Source organism: Homo sapiens, chromosome 12 (assembly GCF_000001405.40).
Source record: "Homo sapiens chromosome 12, GRCh38.p14 Primary Assembly".
Classification (NCBI taxonomy): Eukaryota; Metazoa; Chordata; class Mammalia; order Primates; family Hominidae; genus Homo; species Homo sapiens.
The window spans coordinates 72,815,665-72,828,581 of record NC_000012.12 but is presented as its reverse complement, the minus strand read 5'-3'; the positions used below and the strand labels follow the sequence as shown (position 1 = coordinate 72,828,581).

The following is a 12,917-nucleotide window of genomic DNA, read 5'->3' as shown; positions in this document are numbered from 1 at the left end:
ACATGTAATGGTAATCACAAAATCTCAAAATGTTAATTAATCTGATAAAGTTTCAACAATGAAGCAGTGGTTTTAAGGCAGTGAGCAGATACAAAAAGAAAAATAAGGAAAGTTTTTCCTTCTCTTGAAGTGAGTTTTGTTGTTGCTGTAAAGAGATTTTTATATGTCACTGCCTTCTTAACAGGGCTCCTCCAAATCCTTCCACTTACAGACAGAATATATACAGATATTAACTTCAAAATCATTTCCAACAAACTAAACTAAGTCAACAAAACTTTTCCCTATCACAGTAAGCAGCCTTCAGATATTTCATATCAAAAGATAAACAGTAAAACATGGATTATTATTTTTCCATTACACATGCCAACTTTACTTTAAATTATGCATTATTCTTTCCATTTTTGAATAATTTGATTAAGTTTTAGGAAAATAATTATTTCTTAAGATGTCTTAAGATTTTATCAGCATTGCGTTTATTAGCATTCATTGTTTTTCATCTTTACATTTTTGTAGGGATGTCTGGAAATACAAGGTGTAAAGAAAATATATCTTGTGGAAATAATAACAATAAGCCAAATTGAGAAATGAGAAATTCTGGAGGTGGAAAGAACTTTAGAGATAGCTAGTCCAATCACATTGTTTACAGATGAATAAACTAAGGTTTAAAGAAATGTGAATAAGCTGGTTGACCCCACTCATCCAAAAAGGTTATCAAAATACACATTGAGTTTAATAGTCTTTCTATTATCTAATATCGTCATTCTTCAGGTAGAGATTCTTTTTGTAAGCATTTTATTCCTTTACTCATTTAATTTATCTGTGAAGAATAAGAGGCTGTACTATACTTTATATATCAATGTCTTGCTTGATTAAATTATAACAGATAACTATCTTTCGACATTGATTGGAAGCTACCCAACTACTGAATCCAAGACCAAACGCTATTTTATTAATAGTTGGGTGTCATATCTGACCTTCTAAAGTGAGAGAAGATTTTTGTTTTTCCAAATAAATATAAAAAATTCATGAAAGTGTTTTTGTAAGGAGCTTATTACCTATAAAGGTATAGCCTTTTCAGACATACTTTAGTATAAAATATGTATAACTCCCTTATAGATTATTAATAGGTTCCCAGAATGTTTAGCACACTAAATGTGTTAGAGAACAAACTGGAATGTTGATCATAAGTCTTGTTTCAGATCTGTTTTTTTTTTAAATTGTGGGACAATTTTCCTAGATTATTTATTTCTAAATTCATCTGATAGGAAGGAATTGGCTAGATCATCCAAAATGATCTTATATCGAAGAAAAACAAATAAAATTCATTTATAATCATAATAACAAACTAATTTACTCCAGTGATTCAGGTTAGGATTAATTATACCAGAGTGTAATGCAAATACAATAAAACATGTCTGCACACAAATTCAGATTTATCTACTGGACATTTTTTCCATCAACTAAAGAAGAATGTGAACTGTGGTATATAGGGACCTAGATAAAAAGCAAGATGTTAGACTCTACCTTAGTGAGTGGACAAAATATTAAGGGATTGATTAAAAATATATATATATATATAAGAGCCAATACCTATTTGAAAGCTGGTAGTCAGAACTTGTTTAAAATTTTTCAAGAAGAACCACAGAGGAAAGTTTCCATATAATGAATTTCTTCATTGCCATAACTTCATTTATTCAACAAATTTTTATTGAACATACACTTTGTGCCAGGTTCTCTTCAGGATGCTGAGGATATAGCAATGAACAAAATTATCTGTCCTCACAGAGCTTATGTTCTGTTGTAAGGAAACACATAAAATGCTATATATCAGGTGGTGAATGTCACGCGCGTCTGTGTGAAGAGACCACCAAACAGGCTTTGTGTGAGCAATAAAGCTTTTTAATCACCTGGGTGCAGGTGGGCTGAGTCCAAGGGAGATAGGGGTGGGGCCTTTTTATAGGATTTCTGTGGGTAGTGGAAAATTACAGTCAAAGGGGGTTGTTCTCTTCCGGGCAGGGGTGGGGGTCACAAGGTGCTCAGTGGGGGAGGTTCTGAGCCAGGAGAAGGAATTTCACAAGGTAATGTCATCAGTTAAAGCAGGAACTGGCCATTATCACATTATCACTTCTTTTGTGATTCTTCAGTTACTTCAGGTCATCTGGATATATACATGCAGGCCTGGGCTCAGAGGCCTGACATTCCTGTCTTCTTATATGAATAAGAAAAATAACATAAAATAGTGTTGAAGTGTTGGGGCAGCAGAAATTTTTGTGGGGAGGTATGGAGAGATCATGATGTTTCTCAGGGCTGCTTCGAGCAGGATTAGGGGTGGCGTGGGAACCTAGAGTGGGAGACATTAAGCTGAAGGAAGATTTTGTGGTAAGGGGTGATATTGTGGGGTTGTTAGAAAGAGCATTTGTGTATAGAATGATTGGTGATGGCCTGGATACGGTTTTGGATGAATTGAGAAACTAAATGGAAGACACAAGGTCTGAATAAGAGAAGGAGAAAAACAGGTATTAAAGGACAAAGAATTGGGAGGACCCAGTGAGAGACAGGACTAGCTGGATTTCCTAAGCCGACTAAGAATCCCTAAGCCTAGCTGGGAAGGTGACCACTTCCACCTTTAAACACAGGACTTGCAACTTAGCTCACACCCGACCAATCAGATAGCAAAGAGAGTTCACTAAAATGCTAATTAGGCAAAAACAGGAGGTAAGGAAATAGCCAATCATCTATTGCCTGAGAGCACAGCGGGAGGGACAATGATCAGGATACAAACCCAGGCATTCGAGGTGGCAATGGCTACGCTCTTTGGGTCCCCTCCCTTTGTATGGGAGCTCTGTCTTCACTCTATTAAATCTTGCAACTGCACTCTCTTTTGGTCCATGTTTGTTACAGCTCAAGCTGAGCTTTTGCTCGCCGTCTACCACTGCTGTTTGCTGCTATCGCAGACCCGCCACTGACTTCCATCCCTCCCAATCCAGCAGGGTGTCTGCTGTGCTCCTGATCCAGCGAGGCACCCATTGCCGCTCCCGATCGGTCTAAAGGCTTGCCATTGTTCCTGCACAGCTAAGTGCCTGGGTTCGTCCTAATCGAGCTGAACACTAGTCACTGGGTTCCACGGTTCTCTTCCGTGACCCATGGCTTCTAATAGAGCTATAACACTCACCGCATGGCCCAAGATTCCATTCCTTGGAACCTGTGAGGCCAAGAACCCCAGGTCACAGAACACGAGGCTTGCCGCCATTTTGTAAGTGCTAGCCATCATCTTGGGAGTTCTGGGAGCAAGGACCCCCAGTAACACCAGAATATCCAATTAGAGAGTGACCATGGGGGTTCAGCATAATTACTTGCTTGGTTGGCAAGTTTTGGGGCTCTATCCTTGAGTTTTTTTATGTTGTCATACACCAGGCCAGATTGATGTAGGTAAAAACAAAACTCTTCATTTAAAAATATACAGAGTCCTCCTTTTTCAGCAATGAGTAAGTCAAGGCCTCTGCAGTTTTGGAGGACAACTGCAGCTAGAGAATCAACTTGGGTCTGAAGGACTGATAAAGTTTGATAGAGTCCAAAAAACTCACCAACAAGAAAGTAATTACGCTGCACCCCCTTGGTCATTCTCTAATTGGATGTCCTGGGTGCTCCCATTTCTTTGTCTTTTAATACCTGTTTTTCTCCTTCTCTTATTCAGACCTTGTGTCTTCCATTTAGTTTCTCAATTCATCCAAAACCATATACAGGCCATCACCAATCATTCTATATGACAAATGCTCCTTCTAATGAGGGAAGAGAGAGACCCTCTCATATTGTTTTATATTGTTTTATATGCAGTACCTGTTTTAAGAAAAAAACAAAGAAGTGAAATCAAAGACAGGCAGCCAGGCGCCAGGCCCAAAACCAGGCCTGGGCCTGCCTGGCCTAAACCTAGTAGCTAAAAATCAACTCATGACTTAGAAACTAATGTTATCCATAGATTCCAGACATTGTATAAAAGAACACTGTGAAATTACTCCCTGGTCTGTTCTGTTCCACTCTGACCACTGGTACATGCAGCCCGTCACGTACCCCCTGCTTGCTCAAATCAATCACGACCCTTTCTGTGAAACCCTTAGAGTTGTGAGCCCTTAAAAAGTTGTGTGTCCCTTAAAAGGGATAGGAATTGCTCACTTGGGGAGCTCGGATTTTAAGACAGTAGCTTGCCGATGCTCCCAGCTGAATAAAGCCCTTCCTTCTACAACTCGGTGTCCGAGAGGTTTTGTCTGTGGCTCGTCCTGCTACATTTCTTGGTTCCCTGACCGGGAAGCAAGGTGACTGACGGACGGCCAAGGCAGCCCCTTAGGCAGCTTAGGCCTGTCCTGTGGAGCATCCCTGCAGGGGACTCCAGCCAGCCTGAGTGATGCAATCCAAGTAGCGCTCCCAGGTAGGCAATTGTCCCAGTGGAACGCCTCACCAGAGCAGCGAGTAGCAGGCCCCCATGGAGGATTAACACAGTGGCTGAACACCGGGAAGGAACTGGCACTTGGAGTCTGGACATCTGAAACTTGGTAAGACTAGTCTTTGGAACTTGCCCACTCTGTTTGAGTGGAAGCGTGGTCTGATCACCCACAGCATGCCTTTATCAGCACTTTGGTTTTGGTTTTGGTTTTGACTTGGTTTGAATTGCTTGACAGGACTGGTCTTGGGAACTTGCCCACTCCATTTGAGTGGAAGCGTGGCCTGATCACCAACGGTGTGCCTGTACTGGCACTTTGGTTTTTGTTTTTGACTTGACTTAGATTGCTTGATACTTTGGTTTCAGTTTTTGACCTGGCTTGGATTTCTGGATACTCTGATTTTGGTTTTGATTTTGGTTTGGTGTAAACTGCAAAAGTGTGTGGGTGCCCTTTTTTACTTGTTCTTTGTTTTGTGGTGTGCTTGTGGTGTGATCATGGTGTTTTGTCTCAAAGAAGCATGGATCAGGATCAAAGTAAGCCCAAGCCACTATGTTGAAAAATTTCAAGAAAGGATTTAAGGGATATTACAGTGTTACTATGGCACCAGGAAAACTTAAAACTTTGTGTGAAATAGACTGGCCAGCATTAGAGGTGGGTTGGCCATCAGAAGGAAGCCTAGACAGTTTCCTTGTTTAAAAGGTATGGCACAAGGTAACCTGTAAGCCAAAGCACCCAGACCAGTTTCCATACATACACAGTTACAGCTGGTTTTAGACCCCCTTCCCCCCCACAGTAGTTAAGAGAACAGCAGCATAAGCGGCTGGAAGAGGCAAAGAAAGACAAGCAGAGAGAAAAAGAGGCCATCTATACCTATTCTAAGTTAATTTAGACTAAACAAGCTCTTATTAATAGCAAAGGATAATTGAAATCCCAAACTTACAAGGTTTTCAACAAAAGTGAAGTTTGCTAAAAGTTAACAGTGTCACATGTATTATAGTAACTCCTAATCTTGTGGCCTTAGATAGTCTAGTCCACAGACATAAAGGAAGTTCACTTTAAAAAAAAATGGTTATCTTCAGAAAAAAAAAAAAAAGGAAAAAAAAAAAGGGGGAGGCAGAATTTATATAAAAAGAGTGTTATATGGTAAATTCTTGTCCTGAAAGAAATTAACTGGTTGTTTAAAGAAAAAAAAAAATGTTTTTAATAAGTCAGAAAGTTAAGACATGTCGAAAAATTGTCTACAAAAGTCATGAAAGAACAAATGTTATAAAAGACAAATTTATGCAAAAAATGTTGTATAATTTAAAAGTAATAAGGCCTCCTGAGTACTATTGAAGAAATAGTTTATGTGCAAGGTGTCTAAAAAAAGTAAAATATACCTTTGGTTAAAAGATCATAAGGAGGCATAAGAATGTAGATTTTTACCTACATTAAAAAGTTAAAAAAATTATTGTTTTAAAAGTTTAAGCAAGTTTTAAAACATTAATTGTAAAAAAAAAAAAATATGTGTTTAAACATATTAGCTAAAGTTAAAAATGTACCATCCAGTTTTTCTGTGAACTGGACATTAAAGTAAAAATGCAACAAGTTTTTCTTAAAGCACCAACCTGCTCTTTAACAAAAATTATAAAAAGTTAAAAAGAGTCTATAAAATCTTACCTTATGGTGAAACATGAAAAGTTGGATAAATATGTCTACAAGATTTTATTAAAATTAAGTTTAACATCAATAACACACTAATATAAAGGTAAAATTTAACTTATCTGGTATAAAAATCATACAAGAAGCATTATTAAATATAAAATGGTGTTTAGCTTTCTTTGGTCTAAAAACTAATAAAAATAGGTGCTAAAGGAAACATTCATTCTACTAGAGGATCATAGAAGTTAAAGACTTAAAACAAACTTTGGCAATTAAGAGAGCATACCAAGATACAAATGCCTGGTTGAAATGGATCAAATATTCCATCTGCATGTTAAAAAAAAGCAATTGTTATGCTTGTGCACATGGCAGGCCAGAGGCCCTGATTGTCCCCCTTCCACTAAGGTGGTCCTCCAGTCGACCAGGCGTGGGTGGCATGGTAGCTCTTTTCCAGGATTCTACAGTCTGGAGTAATAAGTCATGCCAAGCTCTCTCTGCTATATCCCGAAGTCCCTTCGAGTCAGCCCCCGAGGGCCATCCAGCTTCTGTCTCCCAACACTAAGTTCACTTCATGTCTCTCATGGCAGGGAGGAGACTTAGCATTCCTTGGAGACCTGAAGGGATGCAGTGAGCTTAAGAATTTTCAAGAGCTTATCAATCAGTCATCTCTTGTTCATCCCTGAGTGGATGTGTGGTGGTATTGTGATGGACCTTTACTAGGCACTCTGCCAAATAACTAGAGTGGCACTTGTACTTTGGTCCAATTGGCTATCCCTTTCACCCTGGCATTTCATCAACAAGAGGAAAAATAAAAAAATAAGACATCGAGAAGCAAGAGAAGCCCCTTATAAGTTTTTCAACTCTCGCATCTATTTAGATGCAATTGGAGCCCCGCAAGGAATACCAGATCAATTTAAAGCTTGAAATCAAATAGTTACAGGATTTAAGTCAATATTTTAGTAGATTACAGTCAATAAAAATATAAATTTTTATTGTAATACTGTAATACTACATGTATTACAACCAACAGCAACAAGCTTTTCATGAGTTAAAAAAAAAAACAACTCAGGTCGTCTCCAGACCTGGGGCTACCTGACCTGACAAAACTTTTTACACTCTATGTGTCAAAAAAAAAAAAAAAATAGCAGTTGGAGTTTTAACCCAGACTGTAGGGCCCTGGCCAAGGCCAGTGGCCTATCTCTCAAAACAACTAGATGGGGTTTCCAAGGCTGGCCCCCATGTCCAAGGGCCCTGGCAGCAATGGCCCTATTAGCACAAGAAGCAGATAAGCTAACTCATAGGCAAAACCTAAACATAAAGTCCCCCCATGCGGTGGTGATTTTAATAAATACCAAAGGACACAATTAGCTAATGAATGCTAGACTAACTAGATACCAAACCTTGCTCTTTGAAAATCCCCGCATAACCATTGAAGTTTGCAACACCCTAAACCCTGCCACCTTGCTCCTGGTATCAGTGAGCCCAGTCAAACATAACTGTGTAGAAGTATTGGACTCAGTTTATTCTAGTGGGCCCAACCTCCGAGACCATCCTTAAACATCAGTAGACTAGGAGCTGTACGTGGAGAGGAGTAGCTTTGCCAACCCCTGCAAAGTGACTCTGAAGAAGTTGACAAGCCCTGCTCCAGTCACACCCGGAAGCTGACTGGGCCACGCATGGCCAAAGCATGAGGAAACTCATTCCGAGACTCATTTTCCTTAAAATTTGGACTTCTACAGTAAGGACTTCAACTGACCTTCCTCAGACTGAGAACTGTTCCCAGTATATACATCAAGTCACTAAGGTAGGACAAAAAGATTGCTACAGTCCTATTATTTTATAGTTATTATAAGTGTACCAGGACTCTAAAAGAAACTTGTTTGTATAATGCTATTCTATCCAAAGTATGTAGCCCAGGAAATAACCAACCTGATGCGTATTATGACCAATTTTAAGCCTCCCATAATCACAATTTTTAAAATAAAATTAAGGACTGGTCCTTTTCTAGGTGACACAAGTGAAGTAATAGCTAGGACAGAAGAAAGAGGGGTCTCCAAGCATATAACCCTAAAATTTAATGCTTGTGCCACTATCAATAGCAATTGGCATAGAATAAGATGCTCATGCACAAGTGTGTGTAATTACTGGTCTTGTGTCATCTAGACTACTTTAAAAAAAGATGAAAAAGATCCTGTTTAGCTCCAAAAAGGAGAAGGCAGCCCCTCCTGTATGAGTGGAAGCTGCAACCCCTTAAAATTAATAATTACAAATCCCTTAAACCCAAGGTAGAAAAAAAGAACACATATCTCTGGGCATCAATAGGAAAGGACTAGGTCCTAGAGTAAATATCTTAGTAAAAGATGAGGTTCAAAGACGCTCTCCAGAACCAGTATTTCAGACTTTCTATGATGAATTAAATGTGCTAGTACCTGAGACTCCAGGAAAAACCAGAAATTTGTTTGTGCAGTTAGCCAAGCACGTAGCCCAGTCTTTAAATGTCACTTCATGTTATGTTTGTAGAAAAACTGCAATAAGAGATCAATGGCCATAAGAAGCCTGAGAATTAGTGCCTGCAGACCCAGTTCCTGATGAATTCCTGGCACAAAAGAATCACCCTGATCATTTCTAGGTTCTAAAAGTCTCAATTATTAGACAAGACTGCATAGCTAGAAAAAGAAAATAATTCACTGATTCTGTAAGATGACTTAGTTGCCTAGGACAAAAACTGTATAATAGTACCCCCCCAAAAAAATAACAGTTATGTGGTGGAGTTCCAATTACACAGAAAGAGATCCATTCACTAAATTTCCAAGGTTGCAGCCTGTCTAGGCCCACCCAGAGTTCCACCAGGACTAGACTGCCCCCACCAGATTATACTAGATATGTGGACATAGAGCCTATGCTAAGCTGCCTGATCAGTGGATAAGTAGCTGTGTAATTGGCACCATTAAACCATCTTTCTTCCTACTGCCCATAAAAACAGGCAAACTCCTAGGCTTCCCTGTCTATGCTTCCCACGGAAAATGAAGCATAGCCATAGGTAATTAGAAAGATGATAAATGACCTCCTAAAAAAAAAAATTATACAATACTATAGGCCTGCCACTTAGACACAAGACAGCTCATAGGGTTACCATACCCCCATTTACATGCTCAACCGAATCATATGGTTGCAAGCTGTTTTAGAAATAATCACTAATAAAACCGGTCAAGCCTTGACTATTTTGGCCCAGCAAGAAACTCAGATAAGAAATGCCATCTATCAAAATAGATTGGCTTTTGACTACTTACTAGCAGCTGAAAGAGAGGTCTATAAGAAATTTAACCTTACTAGTTACTGTCTACATATAGATAAGCAAGGCAAGTAGTTAAAGACATAGTTAAAAATATGACAAAACTGACACATGTGCCCGTACAAGTGTAGCATGAATTCGACCCTGAAGCCATGTTTAAAAATTAGTTCCCAGCACTAGGAGGATTTAAAACTCTTATAATAGAAGTTATAATAGTAATAAGAACCTGCTTACTGCTCCCTTGTTTGCTACCTGTACTTCTTCAAATGATACAAAGCCTCATCATTACCTTAGTTCACCAGAATGCTTCAGCACAAGTGTACTATATAAATCACTATCAATCTATTGCACAAGAAGACACATATAGTGAAAATAAGAGTGAGAACTCCCACTAATAAAAAGTGAGAGTCTCAAAGGGGGGAAATGAGGGAAGAAAGAGACCTTCTCATACTGTTTTATATTGTTTTATACTCAATACCTGTTTTAAGAAAAAAACAAAGAAGTGAAATCAAAGACAGGCAGCCTGGTGCCAGGCCCAAAACCAGGCCTGGCCTGCCTGGCCTAAACCTAGTAGTTCAAAATCAACTCATGACTTAGAAACCATTGTTATCCATAGATTCCAGACATTGTATAAAAGAACATTGTGAAACTCCCTTCTCTGTTCTGTTCCACTCTGACCACTGGTGCATGCAGCCCCTGTCATGTACCCCCTGCTTGCTCAAATCAATCATGACCCTTTCGTGTGAAATCCTTAGAGTTGTGAGCCCTTAAAAAGGACAGGAATTGCTCACTCAGGGAGCTCGGATTTTAAGACAGTAGCTTGCCAATGCTCCCAGCTGAATAAAGCCCTTCCTTCTACAACTCGGTGTCTGAGAGCTTTTGTCTGCGGCTCGTCCTGCTACACGAACAACCCCATAATATTACCCCTTACCACAAAATCTTCCTCCAGCTTAGTCTGTCCCACTCTAGGTTCCCACTTCGCCCCTAATCCCACTCGAAGCATCCCTGAGAAACATCGCCCATTATCTCTCCATACCACCTCCCAAAAATTTTCGCTGCCCCAACACTTCAACACTATTTTATGTTATTTTTCTTATTAATATAAGAAGGCAGGAATGTCAGGCCTCTGAGCCTAAGCTAAGCCATCATATCCCCTGTGACCTGCACATATATATCCTGATGGCCTGAAGCAAGTGAAGAATCACAAAATAAGTGAAAATGGCCAGTTCCTGCCTTAACTGATGACATTCCACCATTTTGATTTGTTCCTGCCCCACCTTAACTGAAAGGTTAACCTTGTGAAATTCCTTCTCCTGGCTCAGAACCTCTCCCACTGAGCACCTTGTAACCCCCTGCCCCTGTCCACCAGAGAACAACCCCCTTTGACTATAATTTTCCACTACCCACCGAAATCCTATAAAATGGCCCCACCCCTATCTCCCTTCGCTGAGTCTCTTTTTGGACCCAGCCCACCTGCACTCAGGTAATTAAAAGGCTTTATCACTCACACAAACCCTGTTTGGTGGTCTCTTCACATGGACGTGTGTGACAGTGATGAGTGCTGAGAATAAAAAAAAAAGAAAGCAAAATAACACAGGGAGTTTGGGACAGTACAAGGGTGCTATTTTAGATAGAGATATTCAGGGAAAAATCTCATTAGTTAGAATTCTGAAGGAGTGAAACATACAGACATCTGAAGAAAAAGATTCTAGGTGGAAGGAATAACAAGTGCAAGGACCCTGGATGGGAATAAGCTTGGCCTATTGCCACAGCATCAAGAGTGTCAGGCCTCTGAGCCCAAGCTAAGCCATCATATCCCCTGTGACCTGCACGTATACATCCAGATGGCCTGAAGCAACTGAAGATCCACAAAAGAAGTGAAAATAGCCTTAACTGATGACATTCCACCATTGTGTTTCTGCCCCACCCTAACTGATCAATGTTCTTTATAATCTCCCCAACCCTTAAGAAAGTTCTTTGTAATTCTCCCCACCCTTAAGAATATACTTCATGAGATCTAACCCCTGCTGGCAAAACATTGCTCCTAACTCCACTGCCTACCCCAAAACTTATAAGAACTAATGATAATCCCACCACCCTTTGCTGACTCTCTTTTTGGACTCAGCCTGCCTGCACCCAGGTGAAATAAACAGCCTTGTTTCTCACACAGAGCCAGTTTGGTGGTCTCTTTACATGGATGTGTGAGACAAAGAGGTCAGTGTGGTTGAAGCAGGGTGAGTAGAAAGAGAGTGATATGGATGAGGACAGGGACATAACTTGATTTTGGAGGGTGTACTGGATCACTCTAAGAACTGTGGATTTTATTCTAAGTGAGTTGGGAAGCATTAGAAGAGTTTTGAAAGTGATACAAATTATGACTGCTATTTTAAAAGATTAACCAGGCTGCTATGTGGAAAATAGTCTGCAGTGGTGTTATGAAAAAGCCAAACTCTGTGAAATATTTTAAGAGGTTTATTCTAAGTCAAGATGAGTGACCATGGCCCACAGTAAAGTCTAAAGAGGTCCTGAGAAAGTGTGCCTGAGGCAGTCAGGTTATAGTTTGGTTTTATACATTTTAGGGAGACAGAAGTTATAGACAAGACATAAATCAACACATATAAATGTCAGGCCTCTGAGCCCAAGCCAAGCCATCACATCCCCTGTGACTTGCACGTATACGCCCAGATGGCCTGAAGTAACTGAAGAATCACAAAAGAAGTGAATATGCCTTGCCCCACCTTAACTGATGACATTCCACCACAAAAGTGTAAATGGCCGGTCCTTGCCTTAACTGATGACATTACCTTGTGAAAGTCCTTTTCCTGGCTCATCCTGGCTCAAAAAGCACCCCCACTGAGCACCTTGTGACCCCCACTCCTGCCCACTGAGCACCTTGCGACCCCCACTCCTACCCGCCAGAGAACAAACCCCCTTTGACTGTAATTTTCCTTTACCTACCCAAATCCTATAAAACGGCCCCAACCTTATCTCCCTTCACTGACTCTCTTTTTGGACTCAGCCCACCTGCACCCAGGTGAAATAAACAGCCATGTTGCTCACACAAAGCCTGTTTGGTGGTCTCTTCACACGGACATGCATGAAAATAAGTGTATACTATTTCAGCCCAGAAAGATGGCAAAGTGGGGGGCTTACAAGTCAGAGGTAGATTCAAAGATTTTCTTTTTCTTTTTTCTTTTTTTGAGACAGGGTCTTGCTCTGCCACCAAAACTGAAGTGCAGTGGTGTAGTCATGGCTGACTGTAGCCTCAACTTCTAAGGCACAAGCAATTCTCCCACCTCAGCTTCCTGAGTACTTGGGACTACAGATGCACATCAACCCACCTGGCTATTTCTATTTTTTTAAATTTTCTGTAGAGATAAGCTCTCCCTATGTTGCCCAAGCTGGTCTCAAACTCATGAGTTCAAGTGATCCTCCCATCTTGACCTCCCAAAGTGCTGGAATTACAGGTGTGAGCCACTGTGCCTGGCCAATTCAAAGATTTTCTGATTGGCAATTGGTTGAAAGAGTTAAGCTAAAGACTTGAAATC

The 12,917-nt window shown here is 40.2% G+C and overlaps 1 annotated feature.

Moving 5' to 3' along the window:
* Positions 11,915-12,457: an enhancer, noted in NCBI's record as "OCT4-NANOG hESC enhancer chr12:73209905-73210447 (GRCh37/hg19 assembly coordinates)". NCBI's record gives its function as "activates a minimal SCP1, AML or CMV promoter by ChIP-STARR-seq in naive and primed H9 embryonic stem cells {active_cell/tissue: H9 hESC(naive and primed)}" and the evidence as "EXISTENCE:reporter gene assay evidence [ECO:0000049][PMID:30033119]".